Below are 24,677 nucleotides of genomic sequence, written 5' to 3' on the forward strand. Positions count from 1 at the left end.
GAACTCCTGAACTTGGCCTCCCAAAGTGCTGGGATTACAGGTGTGAGCCACTGCGCCCAGCCTGCATTTTGCGTTTCTATAAGTGTCTCCTTGATTTCCAGAAGTTGCGATTGTTTTTTATGCTGTCTATTTCACTGAAGACCTTTCCTCTCATAACCTGTATCATATTTTTGATTTCTTTAAGTTGGACTTCACCTTTCTCTGGTGCCTTCCTGATTAGCTTAATAACCTTCTGAATTCTTGCTCTGGAAATTCGAAGAATTCATCTTGGTTTGGATCCATTTGCTGGTGAGCTGTTGTGATTTTTTGAAGGTGTTAAAGAAGCTTGTTTTATTACCAGAATTCTTTATCTGATTCCATCACATTTGGGTGGATTATGTCAGAGAGAAGATCTGGGACTCAAGGGATGCTGCTCAGATTATCTTTTGTCCCACAGAGTGCTCCCTTGATGTGGTGCCCTCCCCCTTCCCCTAGGTATGGGGCTTCCTGAAAGCTGAACTGCAATGATTGTTTTTGCTCTTTTGGGTCCAGCCATCCATAGGAGCTACCAGGCTCTGGGCTGGTACTGGGGAGTGTCTGCAAAGTGTTCTGTGATGTGATCCATCTTCATGTCTTTCAGCCATGGATACCAGCACCTACTCCAGTGGAGGCAGCAGGGGAGTGAAGTGGACTCTATGAGGGTCGTGGTTTGTATTTTTGTTTAGTGCACTTGTTTTGTGTTGGTTGGCCTCCAGCCAGGAAGTGGCACTTTCAAGAGCACATCAGCTGTGATTTCATAGGAAGGATGCAAACTTGCCCTATGATTGCCTGGTTAAGTATTGAGAGGCCTCAGGTGGTGGGTAGGGCCACAGAGCCTCCAAGAGATTCTGATCTTTGTCTTTGGCAACCAGGGTGGGTAGAGAAAGACCACCAGGTGGGGGCAGGGATAGGAGTGCCTGAGCTCAGACTTCCCTTGGGTGGGGATCCCTGCAGCTGCTCTAGGGGATGGAGTGTGGTTTCTAGGCCAATGGAGTTATGTTCCCAGGATGATTATGGCTGCCTCTGCTGAGTCATAAGGTCACCAGGGAAGTGTGGGAAAGCCCTCAGCCTCATCCCACTCCCACACAGCCTGCAGTCTTTAAGGCCAATCTCATTCCCGTTGTTACCCTGGAACAGCACCAAGTCTATTTCCAGGTAGCCGGTGGCCAGGGCTGAGAAATTGCCCCAGACCACCAGTCTCTCCACTGAGAAAGTAAGCAGACACAGTTTTTCAGCATTTCGGGCAGCCTGCAGTGGAGATCCAGTTCCTTCAAAGGGTCTGTGGATTCTTTCAGCTTTCCTGGTATGTTCCTGCAGCAGTTTTGGGAGCAAAAGTTCACAATGTTACTCTCCACATCCTGCTCTGTCTGAGTGGGAGCTGCAAGCTAGTCTTGCCTCCTATCTGTTATCTTAATCTTACCTTTCAGTCTGGGTTTTTTTTTTTTTGTACCTGTTCTTCAGAAGGTTTACCAGGAATTCTAAGTATACTAACTGTTTTATTTCCTGATCCTCTAACCACTGTAGCCATCTCTGCACTAAAGGATGCTCTAAGCCAAGATGTACTGTATCATGAAGACTTACTTGATGATTGACACGGATTTTTGGCTGAGATGGACTTGGAGAAAACCCAAGAATGGTACTGTGGCTGTGTGGAAATGCTCTGCTGTGGGAAGGAGCCCCAGCAGGTCCCTGAAAAATTAACGTAGTTCCCTAACTACAAGAGGGGATAGAGCTTAGATTGGGCCCCTTGGGATCTACTGTCAAATGGAGGCTGGCATCTTTGTAAATCGATGTAAGTCATTATAGTACACACACTTAATATGCATTCAAAGAAATGTTTATTAAAAATAAATATTAATAAACTGCAGACATGTTTATGCTCCCCACATATTATATTCATATCATGGTTTCTTTATTTTCTATAGAAAAACATTTTATATTCTAAAAATGCGTACATACAGAGCCCGCCCCATTTATATTCCTTGTATCATTCTTTTTTTTTCCTCTCCTCTTTATAAACAAAACTTTGCTGTAATTCCTTGACTATGTAATGTTTTAGACATAATATTCCCTATTCCTGGAATATACTGCTCAACTGTTCTCCATCTGGCAAAGGTATGATTATACCTCAAAGACCAGTGAACACATTACTCCATACATCACCAATACCAAGCAAAAATAAAACAAAACCAAAAACAGCAACAAACAAACAGTTTCAGGGCATAATTACATCATAGCCTTATTTTTACAGCTACATAATTTGCACACAGTTATGCAAAAGTATATTTGACAATAAATTAAGTTTTTTGAGAGGGGATCTTTCTCTGTCACCTAGGCTGGAATGCAGAAGTGCAACCATAGCTCACTGCACCCTTGAACTTTGGGGCTCAAGCAAGCTTCCTGCCTCATGCTCCTGAGTAGCTGGGACTACAGGAACATGCCACCACACCTAGTTAACATTAAAAAATTGTGTTTTGTTTTGTTTTTTTACATCTTGCTATGTTGCCCATGCTGGTCTCAATTCCTTCCCTGAAATTATCCTCCTGCTTCAGGTTCCTGAGTAGCTGAGATTACAGGAATATGTCCTCTCCCCTGGGTTGAGTTAATTTCTTACATGGATGACTTGTCCCCTTCAGTGATTGGTGAGACACATTATATATAACTAAAAGCATAAACATTTTGTGGTTAAGGCAGGCTTGTTTGAAATATGTATCAGCCAATGGCAGGTTAAATACCTTAGATAATTTAATCAACATTTTTGCATCTTCTTTCCACATCTTTAAAATAATAATATTATATTCACGAAGTTAATGTAAAGATTAAACAGAGATACATGCAAAATGCAGAGTTCAATGCTTGAGTTTTCAATAAATGCTAGTTGTCAGATGATTCCCTTTTCAAGAGTAAGAGTTTTTTTTTTATTAATTTTCATGTCCTTGACACAGCCCTTGGCACATAGCGGGTACACAATAAATGCTGAATAATAAATGGTATGATATTATTCTGTCTCAATGTCCTCCTATTACTAGATGCTGGACAGCGAAGACACCTGGATGTTTGCTATTTGAACTCCTTTAACCCATTTGATTTTATGTTATGCTGAGTTGAGTTTCATGACATCTCATACTGCGAATGATGCAAGGTTTATGCCAAGATATACAATGTCAAAACACTGTTGCTCTTTTCAATTCCAATATTACACTAGCTTTTCTGACCTGAATTTAAAACAAGTCTCAGAAGAGAAAATATCCAAAAAGCTAAGATATTCTCAATCCTTCTGCAAATAGGTTTTGTATTTTTCACTACCTATGATGAAGCAAAGTGCAAATCTTCAGAAAATTACTTACACTTTTTCAACACCCTGGGAAAACATTTGTGTGGTACTTACATCATAGAATGGAAAGGAAGTTACATAAACCGGTCATTCCATTTCACCAGTGTGTGTATGCCTTGGAAAGCAGACTTGGTACCACAAGAGTTTTGTAAATTAAAATGATAAATAAGAAGCAAATGCAAAAAATAGAATAAACCCAACAAGTTGTTATCCTGAGCATAAAGTATACCAACATTTCATTTACTTACCTCCGTTTTGAACCCTCGCTTTCTTCCTATCTTGGAAATGTTATTGTTGGACACCTGTTTATTCTTCTTTTCATTCAAGTTGTTCTAACACAGGGAATTTTCTTGGGTTTAAGAGAAAATACAATGTAGCAATTCAGTTGCCTAAAGGCAATGGTAAAACAGAAACATTGTTTTACCAGTTGTTTTTAAGTAATATTTCAAATTCTGAGATATAATATATGTGTGTGTGTTCTCACTATATGTCCTAAAAGATATTTCTCTTTCTATATTTTCTAGCTCTTTTATGTTTAACTTTTTATATTTATATATTCAATAGGAATTTGTTTTGTCATAATAAAATATAATAAAAATAATAATAGAATATTTGTTAGCTAGTATTCTCAGTGGTCAAGGCTGGTTTTATGTTCACATACTATTATATTTATCTTATTTTTATATCATTTATGTTAAGTAACCTTGATATCAAAATATTCTTGTGTATTTTTATTGTGTACAAAAATCATTAAATAATCAGTCTTGGACCTTTCTGAAATGGGAGAGGAAATCCAAGTTATAAAAACAAAAACAAAATAAATCTAATGTTAATTGCTTTAATATTAATAAAATGTAATGCATGCTGTGCACATACTGGCAGACAGAGCTCTTTTAAACTCAGTGAACATGTAATCTTGGGTCCTTTCTGAAGCAAATACTATTACTATCCTGATTTATAGGTTTAAAAATAGTAATTATATTGACGCAAAAATTTACACAGGCAGACACAGAAAATGTAAGATCCAACACCAGGCGGGCTGACACTAGTGGCTATGCTATCAATTACTACACTATATTTTCCCATAAATAAAAAAATAAGAGAGAGGAAGAAAGAGGAGGAGGATGAAGTGGAAGGGAAGAGGGACAGGAGAAGGAAATGGCTGGGGTAGAGAAAAAAGAAAAGAAAAATAAACTCAATGAATTTATAAATCAAAAACATATCTTCCTTTTTTTTTCTTCCTTGCAAAGACCTAAAAAGACAAACACTAGAAGTAGTTAGCATTAAAAATGAAAGCATGTTTTCAGACAAGTTTGGTCAAAAGCAAAGAGAAGCAATTTCCAAAACAGACAAGAATGTAAGTTATTAGTGGTCTGATTTACAAAATGTTGCTAAAGCATGTATAACGATTAAGGTGATATTAGATTAAATTCTTCCCCTAAATATCACAATAGATATTTCAATATAGTGAACTTTTGATCAAGATGAATATTTTAGTGCATCAGCATCAAATGAAAAGAGATTTTTAAAGTTGCTAATTGTACAATATCACAGAAGTATTTCTCAAACATGTTTCTACTTTAAAACAATAATATTCACAACTACAAGTTATGAGCTGTTTCATAGAAAAGTCAGTAATTAATGTAAAATATTCTGAGGAGGCAACAGGAACAGGACAATATAGAAATATCCAATAATATAGAAATCCAATAATATATTAAATAATATATAAATATATCCAAGAATACATATTATATATTATTGTACAAATATCCAATAATATATAACATTTGCTTTGCTTAATGACAGAGATATGTTCTGTGAAATGAGCTAGACGATTTCATTGTGAGTACACAGTAGTACTTACAAAAACCTAGATGGTATAGTCTACAATACAAATCTAGGCTATATGGTGTATGTAGTCCAATGCTCCTAAAAACTTGTACAACATATTACTGTACTGAATAATGTAGGCAGTTGTAACTGAATGGTTATGATATATTTAGGCATTAAGAATTTTTCAGCTCCATTGTAATGTTACGAGACCACTGTTGTGTAAGAAGACCAAAATGTGATAATGTGAGACATGACTGTAAATTAATCATTTTATGAATCCATCAAAATAATAATTGTGTGAAAATATTATTGGTATGTAAAAATGCTCACAAAAGGGAGGAAGTATGTTATAAATTGGTACATATAGAAAAATTCCAATTTAGTAAAATTAAATAAATGTATACATAGAAACTTCATATTTGAAAATGTATAGAAATCATAGACATGCTGATAATATTTGTTTAGTTTCTATTGGAATTGGTTATTTTACTTTTGTTCCGGAAAGAATAGTTACCATTTTGAAATAAAACTTTAAAAAAGTCTATGTCATGTTAGGCCTAAAAGTGGAAGATAATATAAAAACCGGGAAAATAAAATGTAGCAATTCATGTCAGGCAGGGCTGGCGTTAAAAATGCTTGTCACTAATTGGCAGTTAGGCCAACATTTATTTTACTATCTGAACCTCAATTATTTTAAATACAAAATGGACCTAAATTTTCAAATGGCACCTACCAAATCTACCTGTTCTTTCACTTTCTCCCTTTTGTTAACGTGGCAAATTAATTATTTCTGTGGTTGTTGTTAAAAAGCAATGAGTCCTTAGAAACACTGCCAGATATTCAACAGTCACAATTAGCATGGTGTATAACATGTTGTATCGCTTGTTTGAGAGAAAGTGATACAGGTACTGTGTTTCATAAATTCCAAAAGAGATAGCTTTTAAGGTTGCCTATGTTTTTTAAAATATAAATTTAAGGAGTACAAGTACAGTTTTGTTATGGATATATTACGTAGTGATGAAGCCTGGGCTTTTAGTGTAACCATCACCCAAACAATGTACCTATTAAGTCATTTGTCATACCTCACCTCCCTCCCACCCTACCCTCTTTCTGAGTCTCCAGGATCTATTACTACACACTCTATGTCCATGGGCACACATTATGTAGCTTCTACTTATAAGTGAGAGCATGAGGTATTAACTTTATTTCTGAGTGTTTTTGTTAAAGATAACTGTATCCAGTTCTATCCATGTTGCTACAGATCATAACATTTTATTCTTTTTTTTAAATGGCTGAATACTATTACGTTTTGTGTGTGTGTGTATATAGTGTATATATATATATATAAAATGTATATATATATTCTGTATGCATACATATATAGCTCTTTTGTAAAAGAGCTGTACATATGTATAAATATAAAAGAGCAGTATATATGTATATACAGCTTTTACTAAAATAGCTGTGTATGTGTATATGTATCTATATATACATATACACATATATACATATATACATATATGGCTTCTTTGGTTTTTGTATATTACCTTTTACAATGCATTGATTTATGTTTGCTTGTTTACCTGTTGAAGTTTTCAGCTCTTTTTTTAAGTAAAAGAGCTATATACATATATAGCTATATATATTTATATGTAAAAGAGCTATATATGTATATATGTGTATATGTAGCTCTTTTATAGTATGTCTATGTATACATCTGTATACATGTATACGTATGTATACATGTGTACATCTGTATATATGTATATGTATGTATATGTATGTATATATGTATATATATGTATATGTATGTATATATATGTATATATATGTATACGTATGTATATGTATGTATACATATATACATACGGATGTCTATGTGTATATATATATAGAATGTCTATGTATATGTCTATGTATATAGATGCATACATACATCTATACATAGATACATAGATACAGGTATACATATGTATACATCTATACACAGACATACTATAAAAGACCTATCTATACATACATATGTATACATACATACATATATATGTATGCACGTATGTGTGTGTGTGTATATATATAGCTCTTTTATTAAAAATGAGCTGAAAACTTCAATAGGTAAACAGGCAAACATAAATCAGTGCATTATAAAAGAAAATATATGAAAAACAAGAAAATGAAAGCACTTCCAGCATCACCAATAATCAAGAAAATGTCAATCAAATCCCTAGGATAGTTTTTTTTTAATAAGATAGTCAAAGCTATTCTTTTTTACACAGTCTTATTCGCTTTTAGAAATAATATGGATTGGGACATGGGTGCTGTTATATCCTATTGATGAAAATATAAATGGTTAAAAACTTTGGGATAATAATATAACAAAATATCTGTAACTTGAGAAATGTATGGATATGTGAAGTGTATATGAAATGTATATAGAAATGTGATATATATATTACATTTTCTTTATTCAATCATTCATTGATGTATACTTAGAGTGATCCCATATCGTCGCTATTGTGAATAATGCTGTGATAAACATATGAGTGAAGATCTCTTTTTACATAATGTATTTTCCTTTGGGTAGATACAGATCATATGCTTTTCCATTTGTATATCTTTTAAAAATGTCTATTTGTGCTCTTTGCCCACTTTTAAAATTCTCTTACATTTCCCAGCATCATTTATTTTCAAAATAACCTCACTTTGTAAAACATGTCATTGTATAATAGACTCTCACTTTGAAATCTATGCAATTTCTGAAATTATATATATGAGAATATATATGTGTGTGTGTATACTTAAATGTACATATGTGTGTTATTTTCATATATACACATACACACATTTATTTATTTATTTCAGTTTTAACAGACTTGGCTTATATCATGTGTATCTCCGAATACATCAGAATATCTCAACTAAAATGTTCACACAAAACTTTATGAATGATTGCTTAGACAACAGATTTCTTTCCAAGATTTTTTTGACAAGAGAAATGCATTTAAATTAAGACATTTAAATTTCAATGATTATAGCCAACCATATATGGTTGTGTATACATAAAATGTGTGTATTCATTGTTACAGAAGAAAGCTTAGTCCAAAAATGTTTAAACTCTCTCTATAAATTTGATTCAATTACAGTATAATAATATTCACGTGTAGCCTCTTTAAGTAAAAAATATTGAAAATAGAACCTAATTTTCATCCAGCATTCAATTCTTCTGGAATTTTAATGTTTGACTTTTATTTCATCAATGAATTATTGATTTCCTGATATTGACTCGCTAAGTTCTTGGGCTTTCTGTAATTCTATTGAAGGTAATGTTTTATAGTCCACACTAGATATTGCTTACCCAAATATAGTCATGCCATGCGTAACAATGTTTTGGTCAGTCATGGACTGCATATACATCAGTGGTCAAATAAGATTATAATACCATATTTTTACTGTACCTTTTCTGTATTTAGATATATTTAGATACACTAATACAATTGTGTTATAATTGTATACAATAGTAAGTACAGTAATATGCTGCACAGATTTGTAGCCTAAGAGTAATAGGCTATACCGTATAACCTGCATTTTTAGTAAGCTCTACCATCTAAGTTGGTTTGCACAACCAATGACATTTGCATAACCATAAAATTGCCTAATGATGCATTTCCCAGAATATATCTCAATTGTTAAGAAACGTGTGACTGTATTTATATTGCTCTACAGGAAAACTGAGTCATTCAATTTTCAATCTCTGTTTATATAGAGAGAGACTGATAGATATAGAGACAAAGATAGATAATAAGGGGCTAAAAAAATTGAAAATAATATGCTTTCTTAAAGGATTTAATTTGTATGGTTTTATAATAATTCTTACAAGAGTATGCCCACTCACACTTGCAGGCTGGATTACTCAGCCTATGCATATGGGTTTTAAACTCTAGTTAGCTCTATCTGTAAGGTACCAGGAAAGGAATCTATCTACACGTATGTCACCTCCATTTCCTGGAAAATACTTGCTTCCTATTATATAGCTCCAGAAGAAAGAAGAGACCATTAATGTGTTTCTTTTTCTCTGAGATGATCATATGCCCACTGCCATGATTTTCTCCTCTGGCAATTTTGAAATTACTGAATGAAAACTAGTAAATATATATATATAAAATTTAAAAAATAAACTAGCTTCAATAAATTCTGAAAATTTCTCTTTAAAGATGACACACCTTAATGACTCTTAGCTTTTTTATATAACTCAACTTCTCCAGTACTTAGGAAAATCAACAATCTGATCTTAATTTCTGATCTACCACCCTTCTCACTGTGAAGCGTGAATTCGGCATGCTTAATTCTGAATCTCCTAGGGTGTGATATTGGCTTCTGTTCTTTACCTGTCTCTCCTGGATTTTTCAAGTCACAGAGTCTTACAGTTTTCTTTCTTCTCAATTTTCATCTCTCACTGATCCCAGACTCACATAATTAATTCCGTGACTTCTGATATGGCTTCTGTCCTCTATCACAAGTTGTTTCTGTAACAAATAGTATACGGCTGCTAAGCTGATGTTAAACATGCTTCTCATTCTTGATCCTTTTTAGCTGTTTAGAGAAGAGTTTAAATACTCTCTGATTCGGTGAAGAATATTGACTAGTTAGTCTCTGCTACCTTAGATGTGTATCTAGAATGAATCAATCTAAATACTTAGGTTCTGACAGTCTATAGATTCTGATAGTCATAGAGTTTGTGCAGAATTATGGTAAATCATATATTTTCTAAGTTTCTCATTTGTGACATTGTCACACTCTCTGTTTTGTACGAGCATGAATACTTTCCCTGTATATAGTTTATGGTCTTTCATTGCAGGATACTTATACCTCATACAGTGAAATTCCTCCAATTATTTTAACACTTAAATAAACACATGTACACATACATATGAACACACATGTCTGTAATGGAGCAAGCTCGCCTCTCCTATTCGCCAGTCTTATAAAAAATAGATACGCATGAAGGAAGGAAATAAGTTAATAATTCTAAATCATAGTAGACTAAAAATGGGCAAGTCTTTAGCTATAAACAGAATTAGCTTTCTGCTGTTCTGCCATTTGCAAGTCTGGTAAGGCAAATTACTTAACCTCTATAAATATCAGTATTTCAATATCTAACAGGAAAAGAGTGATCTCTAACTAAAAAGGATTGTTATTAAGATTAAATAACAGTGTATAAGTCACCTTGCAAATCTATTTCAAACTCCACTTGATGCTTCACTCAGAACCTCAGTTTCCTCATCTTTAAAATAGTCATAATTTGCACCACATAGATATGTCAAAGAGGAAAAATAAAATAATAGTCCCTGGAAATAGTCCCTGGAAAATTGCAGGTGCTTAATAAAACTTAGCTTACTCTTCTCATACAACAGAAACTTTAACTCAGTTTATATCCAGTAACAGATGGGAAAGTAGACTATAATATGATTGTACAGTTTCTGTCAGTATTGAATGTAATATTTTTATATTACAAAAGACTAAATAGAGCTTTTGATTGAAACTTCCTGGTAAAGATGTTATTTTACATTTCTGTAAAGTAGACAACTAGTAGAATTAAATTAAGCCTGAGTTGCCAACAAAATATCCACATGTAGAATAGCACACAAATGAGTAATTCTCTCCATATGTCTTTTTAAAGTATATTCACAAAATATTTCCTAAGCATATTTACGAGAAAAAATAATATCTGGAGAGAGTAACAGTTACAAAATGTCAATTCTGGGTTGTCAAGTTATTCCATAATAAATTGTAGAATGTCCCTAATTTTATGACTTTGTATTTCTTCTTGAATGATTCTCTTAAATCTCGGAAATGGGAAATTTCATTAGGTTTAAAGTGATAGAAAACGTTTCTTTCAGTACCATCTTGCCCCCACAAAAAATCAGTCTGTAAACTTAGAATCAGAATGTTAATGTTAGGAGAAACATTTTAGTTACTCTCATCAACCCTTTAGAGTTCATAAATCTGAAATTCAGATAGATTTAATATCTCACCCAAAATCATGCAAGTAGAAGATTTTTCATAGTTTTTTAATCATTTATTTTCTCAACTAATAATAACTGGAAATTAAAAAATTACAAACACATAAAAAGATATGACAAACACAAAATGCTTTCAATTACTCTAAGACTAATAGAAACTCTTATAAAGAGGGCTGCCTTAATCAAGTGAAAATTTTACAGAATGTATGTGGACACGAAGCAAGAAATTGCAATTATTTTTGCAAACATTTTTAGCTGTTTAAAATCAATCTAGAACTAAACAGGATCTTGGTCAAATAGTGACAATAACATGATGCATTGTGAGGCAATAGAGAAAATGCACACACACACACACACTCCACTATGCATTGGAATATTCTCTTGAATGTGGAGGGAATAAATAGTGCACTTGAAAATATTTGTGTAAATCCTATACAGATTTTAATTTGTAATTATGCCATTCATGAATAAGAGCTATAGTGTTTACAATACTGTATTGGCTATGTGTGTAAAGTGTGTGTGTCTCCTCTTGACTTTAGAAAGATTTGAAGACTATATAAGGGGTCTTCAAAAAATTAATGAAAAAGGTTATGAAAATATTACGAAAAAAACTGCATGGATTTCAAAACCTTTTTGAACCAAAACAAACTCATACTAAGTTATATCATGTCTGAAAAATATCTAGTTTGTGGTTCTAAGAAGGTTAAGACATCAGTTTGAAAACAGCCCCTATCAGAGTAACATACATTCTGCTAAAATTGAAGCAGGAACAAACATCAAATTTATGGTGAAGCTTGGGTGAAAGAATGGTGAAATTACTGATGCTTTGAAATGTTCTATTCAAAAAGAAATGATAAATGCTTCATGTGATGGATACCCAAAATTAAAAATACCTAATTAGGATTAATAAAATAGTGACTTCGTGTGTAAAAACAGGAGAGAAAGGTTTATGGGACAATGCCCCCTTCCACCCCCTGCCACCTAAAGAAATCAGTAGTTTACAAACAGATAACTCATTTTGAGAAAATGATGCCTGGAAAAGCTTCATCAGAGAGTCCTTCTCCTTGAGGATGATGATTCTGCTCATTCCTATCATCAAACAAGAGCAATTTTATGAGAGTTTTAATGATAAAGTGGTAAGCATACACCTTACCATCCTGAATTGGCTCTTGCTGACTTCTTTTTGTTCCCTAATCTTAAAAAAATCTGTAAAGGGCACCCACTTTTCTTCAGTTAATAATGTAAAGAAGACTGCAGGACATGGTTGAATTCCCAGGACTTTTAGCTCTTTATCAGTTAAATAAATGGCTGTTGTCATCGTTTGCAAAAGTGTATTGATCTTGAAGGACCTTATGTTGAGAAATAGTTTGTATTTTTTTTACTTTTATCTTTTAGTTCCATTTTTCCATGAACTTTTTAAAGTCCCCTCATATGTTTCAAAATCCTGGCTTTGCTTCATTATATACTACACCTGTAAAAGTCCATATATGAGCTCCAAAATGCATTCTCTATAGTTGCTTACTATGTTTGTTTTTGCATGTTATTTTCGACTGTATTTCTGCTCCATTAGTGTTTTACATACCTATTCCATTTCAAACTGCTTCCTGTATCTCCTATTATTACTTCTTAGGCAGCAACCATATTTCCACTTCATTTCTTCCCAAGAAAAGTTAACTCTGATATGTAAACAGAAAAAAAGATTAAATAGATACTGGGTTGTTTTGAAAATGTGTTAGATGGCTTGACAATTAGGCTCAAACTACAGTTCACAACTAGCCTAGAGAGGAAACAGCTGCTCCTGCCAGCAGGCTGGAGCTTGGTTCTGTCTCTACTTCTGCTTCAGGATGCGACTTTCCAGTTGTGTTACTATCCTCGCAATAAGGAAAAGACAGCTTCTAACCCTTTCTTTCTCTTGAATCATCATCCCCAGAGTCAAAGTCTATCATAGGCCTCATAATTTTGCCCTAGCTGTAGGGAAACTGGAAAGAAGAGAGTAGAGTTTTCAGTGGACCTAAAGAGCGATGGTCTTTGCCCTTCAGTAGGATTCATGTGAAGAGGAACTTCACAAATGTAAACTGGAGCTCAGTTGTGAGCAACCAAACTGAATCAAAATGTTCACCCTGCATGTTATTATTATTTTCATTTTTTGATGGACTGGATTATACTTTCTCATCAATTTTTTTAAATATATAAAATTAAAGTGATTAACATAAACATTTTATGAACATCCTACTCAAATCTAACTCAATCTAAGAGTTTGACATAGGTGTTGCCATCATTTTAAAGAAATAAAACATGAAAAATATTGTTAAATTCTTGCTTAGAATGTTCATTTTCCCATCATTTCTTGCACCCTGTCATTGATATGTATAACTGTTATGCAGACTTTTCCAATTTTAAGGCATATGCACCTGCCGTGTTTGGTATGTTCATAAACTTTAAATAAGTTATAACAAATTGAATATATTATTGTGAATTTTTATTTTGTTTCTCAATATTATTAATTTATGATTCCCCTGATGATATACGTATGTCTGCTTCACTCATTTTTTTAACCATGACTATACAACAATAATAATACATACATCCTATTGATGCATGCTGACTAGTCCCAATTTACTTCTTAGTGCAAACAATATGATGTGCATGTTTTCCTGTCTTCTATGCTGTGGAAGTTTCCCCAAGGTTCTATACCTACAAGTGGAAGAGACATAGGATATACACATTAGCTATCTAATAACCATCCTCCATCTTTCGGTATAACACTCTAACTTTTAATCCTTGTGGAAGTGTGCCCATTCAGAGACCACATTTCTTAGTCTGTTCTTTAGTTAAGAATGGCCAATTAAATGTGAATGGAGCTTTTTGGGTGTGATTTCTGTAAAACAGCCAGAACAGCATAATGGTTGAGCAGATGGATGCTGGAGTGAGATGGCCTAGACTTTATTAAGCCTCTAAGACTTAATCAGCTGTTTGACCTGGAGGTTATTATTGCTTCCTTTACCTTACTTCTATCATGTGTAAAATAATAGTACAAGATCATAATATTTTGAAAGAATTTAATAAAATGATACATGAACAGCATTCATAGCAGTACCTGGCAAGCATACCTAAAATGTGAGATTTATTAATTTACTTCCTTGTCAACATTTTATGTTTCCAGACTTTTAATTTGTTCTGAAATAATAGATGTGAAGTAATATTCCATTTGTTTTTAATATTCCCCCTGTGATTACTAGTGTGGTTAAACATTTTTTAAAAAAATTTATTCTCTACTTGGTTTACTTTTTTTGAGAATACATAATCACATTCTTTGTCCTTTTTAGGGGAGTTGTTTATCTTTTTATTATATATTTATATGCCTTATGTATATTTATGAAATTTATGAAAGTTAGAAAGATGATTTCTAACTTTAATGTAATAGTGTTTTTAATAGTTCTTGCTCCTGTATATACATCTCCACTACATGTTCTTTAAAAAAAAGATATATATATATGTATCTATACATTTTAAAGTATATTTACCTTTTTTTAGGCATATAATTCCCTAGATTATTCTTTTATATGTGGATTGTGATATATATATATATACACACACACACACAGTATATACATATAGTATATAGTAAATACACACACATATATAAATATATAATATATAAGCCTGTTTCTTAGAGTGCCATTTGTTCAATAGTTCAACTGTAACTGTGAATTTGTAATACTACTACTCTGTTATATATCTGATTTCAATATGGTGGGTTTGTTCCTGAACTTTCCATCCATATGGTCTATTTTTCTATTTTCACACCACTATTATGTTGGCTTAATTATTATAGATTTAAAATAAATCAATACGATTTTACAAAATAAGTACAGCAATCTTATTTCAAAGCTATTTTTATTTCCTAGACCTTTTATGTTTCCATGATATGTTAGAGTTACATTGTCATGTCTCAGAAAAAAAAAATTATTTTGAAGATGGATTGAGATACACTGAGTTTAAAGGTATATTTGGGAAAATACATTTTATTGTATTAGTTTTCCTATTTATGAACATGTATCTAACTTGTTCAGCTTCTCATTTTTATCATTAAAATGTTTTACATAATTTTCTCTATAAAGATCTTGCATGTTTTATGTTAACTTTACTTCCAGATGCCGTAGACTTTTATGGCTATCAGACTGAATATCACATTGTAAAAGAAGCTGTTGCTGACTTGTAGAAAGTACATTTAAATTTTATGTAAATTTATTACAATAAATCAATAATTCGGTGCAAAATTGCTAACCTGGGGCATTTTTTATCTTAAATGAAAAAATTATTATTATATATTATACATCAACTTAAAAAATCCCAAACTGATATAAAAAAGTAACTGAAAAACATGTAGAAAAATGACTATATGTGACTTAAATACACGTGTCTCAAAATAGATAATGATTAAAAACTACTCCCTGATTAACAATCAATATTTTGTTATGAAGTAGTTACTTTGTATAAAGTAAATTTTAAAATTCACATGCAATTTACAAAATGGTGCAATAAATAACACACAAAGCTAGGAACATTTATTTTCCAAACACAGAGCCAAAATTAATAATGGGAAATATATTCATTTCCTGAAATAAACTTATTCATCAAAGGAAGTAGTGACTTACGTTTTAAAGAATATTGAGAAAAGAGGAAGAAATGAGACTTGAAGGAATCCTTATTCACTGAGGAAGATGATGTAAAGTAAGGTAAATTAAGGGCAATTTCAGGCAAATGACAGGACTACGAGAAACTGATATGGATTTTTAATAAATCATTTTGGAACTAATATAGAAATTATGTAGTAGAGAGGATTTTAGAGAAGGTAGTTAAGGCTCTCGAATAAAATTCTGTCTATCTATCGATGTTCTTTTTATCTATTATTTAGCTATCTAATGAATCCCTATTTTAACTTTTACATAAACGTCTTTGAATAGTGCTATAAAAATATTAGACTATTAGGCAAAATAAATAAATTTCATTCTACGTGATACATTCAAATACTACATCATAATGTTGTCAAAACCCAAAACTCTTAAAATTAGACATGTCCAGGGGACAAAGTCAAGACTTCATCATCTCTAATTGAGGAAAAAAAATTGTGGTGGTTATAATAATCAGGGGAGATTTGGAATGTAGCTTTGGTGGCGAGTCAAAAATTATTATTGAATGGGGAAATGTCCAAAGAGTATGAAGTTTCAGTTAGATAAGATGTGTAAATTTTAGAGATATGTTGCACAGCATGAGAACTATAGTTAATTATAATGTATTGTACTTTTTAAATTGCGAAAAGAGTAGATTTTAAATGTTCTCACCATAAAAAAAAGTGATAAGTAGGTAGGTGATAGATCTCCTAATCAGCTTGATTTGATCATTCCACAATATAAACATATATTAAAATATCACATCATACCACATATATTTCTGCATTATTTGTTAATTAAAATAGAAAATTAGAAATATATATTCATTTTTACAATCCTAGAACTATTTATCGATGCTTTCATTAGCCAAGACTTTCTGTAAATGTGTGGATGCCACATTTTTACTAGTTTCCATTTTTCCTAAATAGATGAATTATTTGATAATTTCAATTTCATTGTTACTTAATTGCCCTAGGAGGAAATGAAAGACAAGACAAAAATATACATCTGAAATATTCAGAATGACCATATGAGTTTTTATATTTTACTAAAATGTAACCTTATAAATTTTTTATCCAAGTAACCTTTGTACATAATTTAAATCATTAAACAGTAAAAATTATCAGACTTATAATGGAAACAGCACAACCCTATATACCACCATTTCTCATCCCCAACACCATTTCCTCACACTATTTCTTTAATTTTTGAGGTTTAGATATTATATATCATGATGGCTAATTTTATGTATCAACTTGGTTAGAATAAGGTACCAAACTATTTGGTTAAACATTATTCTAAATGTTTCTCGGCAGGTATGTGTTAAATGAGTTTAGCATTTAAATCCGTAGGCTTTCAATGAAGCACATTACCTTTCCTGTTACGGGAGGGCTTCATTCAGTCAGTTGAAGGCCTTTGTACAAAGAAAAAGACTGAGCCACCCAAGCAAGAAGAATTGCCTTTGGACTCGAATTGCAGTTCTTCCCTACGTCTCCAGCCTGATGGCCTAACCTGCAGATTTTGGACTTGCCAAGCCTCCAAAATCAGTAAACCCAACCTTAAAACATATCTATCATTCTGTTTATCTGGAGAACCATGACTAGTCCATATATTGACTTCTAAATTTGGAAGATAAAATACAGCTCTATCTTTCTTACATTCTTTCCTTTGTTGCCCAGGCTGGAGTGCAATGGCTCAATCTCGGCTCACTGCAACCTCTGCCTCCCGGTTCAAGCAGTTCTCCTGCCTCAGACTCCCGAATAGCTGGGATTACAGGCATATGTCACCCCGCCTGGCTAATTTTGTATTTTTAGTAGAGACAGGGTTTCTCCATGTTGGTCAGGCTGGTCTTGAACTCCCCACCTCAGGTGATCCGCCTGCCTTGGCCTCCCAAAGTGCTGGGATTACAGGCGTAAGCCACCGTTCCTGGCCCATTCTTTCCTTTCATAAACATTTCCTTTCCTCATCCTTGTAATATGATGACATCACAATTGTTATTTAAACCCTTATTTTTGGTGAATGCATTTTTGAGGACTACATAATTATTGTTCACAACCATACCATATAATGAACAATAAACATGATTTCATTTTTATACAATATTTTGTTTCTCCTAGTATTGATTTTTGTCATAGTTGTTTTGTTCGTTTTGTTTGCTTCCTTTTCTACATTTTCTATCAATGTCAGGAGACACTTTTCAATATGCGCTTATGTCACTGCCTCTGAAAAAATAAATGTAATTACTACTGACTCTCTCATCATTGCCAGAATGTTATGCACATTTTTTCTGCTTGTATGTATCTCTGGCTTACAAGTCTGGACTGGGTGCATCTGACTGGTTGAATCAAAGTTGTGTTTATATATTTAAAGTGCAAGTGGAGCTTGTAAGAAAAATATTCAGCTTTACAGCTAGCATGAGTGGGACTCTGTTTCATAGGCCTAAAAATTTCCAAAATTATGGAAGAAGCTTTAATTTATGAGTGACCAAAACAAATTATCAATGGTAAATTCATTCTGATACTGTCTTCATGTTAGGAAAGTTCTTGGCCTTGATAACCAACTGCATTCATTCGCATTGCATGCATAGCAGCAGCATGATAAATGGAAATAATTTGGGAAATTAGATTTAAATCTCACCTCTAATGTTTATAAAGATTGATCTAGACTATTGCACATAATGAAAGACAGCTATTTCTAGTGAAAGTCAAAGTCTGGCTTTAATTTTCACTTACCAAGTTAACAAAGTTTTATAAATTATAAGTATTTTACAAACCTCAGAAAAATGTTAACAGCTCAAAAAAGTAGACCAGATATCTTCTAAGAATATCTTGAAATTGTAAATTTTCAGCTTCATCTTCTATGTCAGTCATATATAGAAGGGGCAAATATATGGGGGAAATGAAGAGACATGAATTAAAAGATTTATTTTTTGGTATCCAAAACTAAATGAATCTAATATAAGTTCCAAGTGAAACTATATTAGATTTCAACATGTGCGCTCATCCATAATGTACCCACCTGTATTTGTTAAGACATCAGTGAATCTTAGATTTCTCAAAGAATCCCATATGTAAGTGAATAAATGAGACAGTTAAATGGTAGCAACCTTAATTTAGAAAGAGAAACTCCAGGAACCAACAAAATGTTTTGTTCTCTGAGGAACGAGAACATTTATTTTTAATGTATACTTCATAAATTTCAATTGTTTCAAACTTAATCATTTTCATGTGTGAAGGTGTTTTATTTTCTCATGATGCAAGTCGAAATAATTGCCTGCAAATCCAAAGGGAACATTTTAGCTCCATGTTTACCTGTCCATTAATTTTTTAAAATACATAATTTTAAGAAAATAGTATTGGTAGAAAATGATTCAAAGCTTAGAGAGGTGTTGCTTTACTTCAAGTTTCCTATTAGTTATTTTGAAAACCTGGATGTCAAATTAGAATGTTTCATTCATGTTTTGAATACAAGACTGAAGCAATTAAATATTGGGCAGAATCATATTTAGGAAGCTAATAAAAAAAGTAATTGTACACATACATACAACACTTTTCATTTGAAAAAATGTGTCATACTATTTTTAAAATATACATTAAGTATAAATGTCTTCAGGGAGAACAATCTCTTAATTGCTAACAAAAACTGCTGAAGTAGACTAATGCTTTCAGAGTGCATTCATTCATTCATCTAAGAAATATTTTGAATATCAATTAAATGCTGTGTAAAATGCATGCACACTACTCTGCTTAATCTACTGTAATTCAATATTATACACAAACACATATACATTATAAATCACAAGTTTGCCTATCTTAGGTAAAATTTTGAATGGTTCCTGCTTTTTGCAAAAGAGAAATACTAATTATTTTTTTCTGAGAAGGAAAATGAGGTCTATAATCATCCATCACAGGTCTGGTGTACATTTATATTCAAATTGGGAAAAAGTTCTATGAACAGATAATATTTCATATACCTAGGATACAAGTTCAGACTGAAAAAAGTAGCATTCTGTGATGATAATATGTTAAATTTGAAAGTGATGCAATTTGTATTGACAGCATCTGTTCCTTGTCCTGGCCCAGAGGGTGTCGAACTAGGTATAAATTACAAAACGCAAATTTTATTGCTTTCTTTCAAAGCTAAATTTTCACATTATACCTCAAAACATGAATACATTCTATAGATTTACACTTTCTTCCCCATCATCTCTTCATTAATCCTCTTTGTACATGAAAAATATGCTTGACTCTGTAAGTGTATGTATTTTAAATTTCCATTTAGCAAAATTATGGAACAGAGGTGTATTTGTAATTCTGACAACAATGATCACAATGATAATAGTGATAAAGAAAATGATATTGATGATAATTATTATAATGTAATTTCTGACAGCAGTTCCGAATTCTTACTTGTGTCTACATTATTTATTGGAGAGAAGCTATAGAAAACCATTAGGATTATCAGGCAATTGTAGAGAATTGGTAAATCAGAGAAGTTACTATCATAAAGAAACTTCGTATCCATTCTTTTCATTGTCATCATTAATTTTTATACCCAATGATTCATTCATTCAGTACACACTAGGCACAACTCAGTGCTGGAATACCACATAGAGCAAATAAGGGGATGGCTATTACCTTCATAGATCCTCAATTTAGTGGAATACATAGATATTAATTCCATAAAAATAACTGGAAAATAGACACTATGATAGGTGGTATGTACGAACGTGACTTGATGCCATGCAGCTTATTAAAGTGGATGTTGTTTTGTTTCTTTTGAGACAGGTTCTCACTTTGTTGCCCAGTCCGAAGTGTACTGGCGTGATCACTGCTGACTGCAGCCTGAAGCTCCTGGGCTCAAGCTATCCTCCCACTTCACCCTCCCCAGTAGCTGGGACTACAAGCATGCACAACTGTAACTAGCTAATTTTTTTTTTTTTTTTTTTTGACAGAGCCTCACTCTGTTGTTGCCCAGGCTAGAGTGCAGTGGTGCGATCTTGGCTCATTGCAACCTCTGCCTCTCTGGTTCAAGTGATTTTCCTGCCTCAGCCTCCTGAGTAGCTGGGATTACAGGCACCCGCCACCATGCCTGGCTAATTTTTTTATTTTTAGTAGAGATGGGGTTTCACCATGTTTGCCAGGCTGGTCTCTAACTCCTGACCTCAGGTGATCTGCCTGCCTCGTCCTCCCAAAGTGCTGGGATTACAGGTGTGAGCCACCACCTGGCCTATTTTTTTTTTTTTTTTTTCGTAGAGACAGGGTCTCAGTATGTTGCCCAGGCTGGTTTTGAACTCCTGGCCTTCAGTGATCCTCTCATCTCTGAATCCTGAGTCATTGGGATTGTAACCATGAGCCACCATGCCTGACCAAAAGTGTATTTTAACATAACTGTAAGCAAGAGATTAAATGACCCATAGGAGTTAAAAAGAAAAAGAGAGGAGAAAATATATCCCAGTAACAGCATTCAAGAAAAACTAATTTAAATCCATTTTGTCTGACTTACAGAAAATTAAGGAAGAATGGTTCAAGACATGGCTACCAAAGTTAGTTGGACTATATACCAAGTAGAGCCAGATCCTCCTTGTGTTAAGTATAAGGAGAAGAGATCAAAATATTTAAGACTTTGCTGATAAGATATGCATTTTGAAATGCTCACTCTGGTTTGACTGCTGCCTAAAGAATTACTTGGAAAGGAGTACACTTACTCTATAACAAGTTATAAATTAAAAAATTATATAACTTTATGCCTGGGATTTTTCATGGCCAGCTGCTAAGTTTAATAAGAAAGTTTGAGAGATAAAGTAACTTTTATAATTACTGACAATTGATTTAAAACAACCAAAACTTACATTAATTCCAAATATGTTGTTTTCATGATATATTGACATATGTTTATTAGATATTCTATCCAAACTAGCTAAAATGTTTGCGCTCTTTGATCATTTGTGTCATATTTTACTTTCGATGTTTCTTCACATAGTTTCTTATGGCCCGCCACTTCTTGCCTCTCCATCCACTGCGCAAAAAGGTGATGTCTTAACACTCTCAATGTCAATGCAATTTGTGTAGGTTCTACTTGCACACTTCCAATATGTGATAACTTATTCAAAAAACAGACTAATTTTTTCTAACACACTGCAAATTTTGTGGGCGTAGCAGTAATAATTTGATGTTTTCCTTTCACTGATTCTGACTTGATGTCTTGATGTCATAAGTAGTTAAAGATAATGCTTTAAAAATTGTTAATATTCTTTACCAATACATTACTTTATATTATTGTATATTTCTGAAAGCATTACCTCCTACATAAAACATTGCCTTATTGAACAATATCAAAAAAGAAGTGACCAGTTTTACCTAGTACAAAAGTTTACCAGGCTAAGTTTGGAAATCCTAGAGAGGAGAGAGGAAATGAATTCGGGACATATATTCCTCCTATTTAGGAGAAATAGAATTTTTAGTTTTAATAAAACCATTTGGGGTCAGAAAGGTTTGTCAAGGTAGGCATATATATTTTTAACCATTTTGTAATTGTAAGAGAATCATAATACAGCCATAAAATTCAGTTATTCTAAAAGCCAACATAGTTTTTTTTATAAATGTGAATCAAGCAATATTGTTCTACTTAAAACTCTTCAATAAATTATCATTACACATAGATTAAAATACACATTTGTTACTACACATAATATGATCCTACACGATGAAGCTCCTGTCTCATTCCTTACTACTCTCCCCACAATACTATGCTTAAGCTGCCAGGTCTTAAATATGTCAAGTTCATCTCTGCTTTGAGACCTTGGCACTTGCTCTTCCCCTCTCTGAACTGTTCTTCCCACAGAGCCTCATAGGTCTGAATTCTTATCACTTACACCTAAGCTGAAATATGAGCTGCCTTCCATGAGCCTTCCATGAGCACTTCCAGTCACCCTTTATCACATTACACTGTTATATATTGTTCCTAGGACTTCTCATTATTTAAAATTATCATATTTATGTATTTGCTTATTATCTGTCTTCTTCCATAAATAGATGTTCCCTAAAAACAGACAATGTATCTATCTGGTTAACTATTTTACTTCCAGAGTCACCTGTCCTCTAGCAATACTCAATAAATATTTGTTAGATAAGAAAACGAGTGAACAAGTAACTAAATAAATCACACCATTCTAAGGTCTCCTCTGTACCACTACTTCAATGCAGTTGCAGCCACACATGATTACAGATCTTTTCATTAACAAAATTCACAATGCTTATTTACTTTTCAGTTTATGATTAAATATGTTCAGAAATAAATATACAGAATTTTATGGCATTATCTGATAAATAAAACAAAGAGATTCAAATAACTATTTTTATCTGATGGGAGTAAAATTTATATCAATATATTTCAGACAAATCTAATTATTTAGTAATCCATGCCTTCACAGAACTATAAAGGGCAGCTATTTTTCAAAAAGTATGTTAGTTTGGATATTACTAAGTGTAAAAGAAGAAAGATTGAGAGGGTAAAACATTAAGAAAACACTTCAGGTTACCTGCTATACTAGATTAAATTAATATTCAAGCTGTGATTGATCACGATTGTTTGAAAATAAAATGGTGACTTAAAATTTTCCTAAGTGTCAAATTAATTGTGATATTTTATTTATCCTGTTATAGGTAGATAGACAGACATGAGTGGAGCAAGAGAGGGCTCTCCCCTCACCACCCACTAGAAATGTTGGGTGGTGGATTCCACAATTTATTGCGTTGCCTCTCCAAAAGTGATAAACTGGCTGTGGCGCCAGAAAGAGGCCATTTCCTGATGGTCCACACCTGTTAACATCAAAAAATTAACTGAATGTAGGCCTCAGGCAGAAGCAACATCCTCGGCATCCACATTAAGAGACAAAAATGATGAAGTATGATCTTCCAGGTACACGCCTCTGGAAAAGGGAAGAAAGCCCTCAGATGGGCCTGCCTGTAACTCCCTACACACACTGCCATGCTCAATTCCAAAGGATGAGGAACACACTGCGCATGTGGGAAGCCCACCCTAAGGAGGGAAGAGTCGCGGGAAAGAGGCAAGCCTGTAAAAGTCTTAGGATCACGGATAAACGGACACTTGACCAGCTCTCAGTTTAACCTTCAGGTGCCCTCTTGGATCCCTTCCAAGTGAACTTTCCTTTCTTCCTGTTCTAAAGCCTTTTAAGTAAACTTCCACTCCTGCCCTGGAATTTGCCTGATCTCTTTTTCGGCTTTATGCCCCTCGGTTGAATTCTTTCTTCTGAGGACGCAAGGGCTGAAGTTGCTGCAGATGCCTATGGATTCCCTGCTGGTAACTCAGGATAATTTAGATCTCTTCCACTGCTAATAATCCTATTCACATTAACCGGAGGGCCAAATGGATCCAGTGGATCCCTAGCCAGACAATCAGTCAGCAGACACCCACTGAGTAATCATTATACAATGTGTTTCGTTAACATGAGAAAAGCAAATGTTTACATATGTGCCAGTTAGGGTTCTAAGAATTTCGCATATATTAACAAATGTAATCTTCATGATAACCCTTCACAATAACTGTAACTATCCTTATTAACAGACAAGGCGAAGTGACCTGCCCAAGATAAAACTCATCAGAGCTGGGATTTGAACTTAGGCAGTCTGACTACAGCTTTACACTCTTGACCACTGTACTATCCCACTTCTCACTCAATCCTCTTTTTTCTGAAAATCAAAATAAATAGCTGAAGAATAAAGTCAGATGTGACTGAGAGAGCTGGAGACTTTTAAAGTCATATCCGGAAAGTCA

General features: G+C 33.2%; 1 long non-coding RNA gene across 4 annotated transcripts in view; it reads right to left on the reverse strand.

Annotated features, from left to right (window-relative positions):
- LOC101928563 (uncharacterized) overlaps positions 1 to 20,293 on the reverse strand; it is a 33,969-nt gene extending 13,676 nt beyond the window's left edge. Inside the window, exons 1-6 of one of the 4 annotated variants that reach the window (XR_001748191.2) lie at positions 18,655 to 20,293; positions 13,794 to 13,902; positions 12,791 to 12,884; positions 9,574 to 9,711; positions 3,601 to 3,741; positions 1,840 to 2,680 (exon numbers count right to left, since the gene is read on the reverse strand). This is a non-coding gene — a long non-coding RNA (uncharacterized LOC101928563). The other 3 variants (XR_001748189.1, XR_931208.3, XR_001748190.2) reach the window with 3 other exon arrangements.
- Positions 20,294 to 24,677: the final 4,384 nt, after the last annotated feature.

This window comes from Homo sapiens, chromosome 11, assembly GCF_000001405.40.
Source record: "Homo sapiens chromosome 11, GRCh38.p14 Primary Assembly".
Classification (NCBI taxonomy): domain Eukaryota; kingdom Metazoa; phylum Chordata; class Mammalia; order Primates; family Hominidae; genus Homo; species Homo sapiens.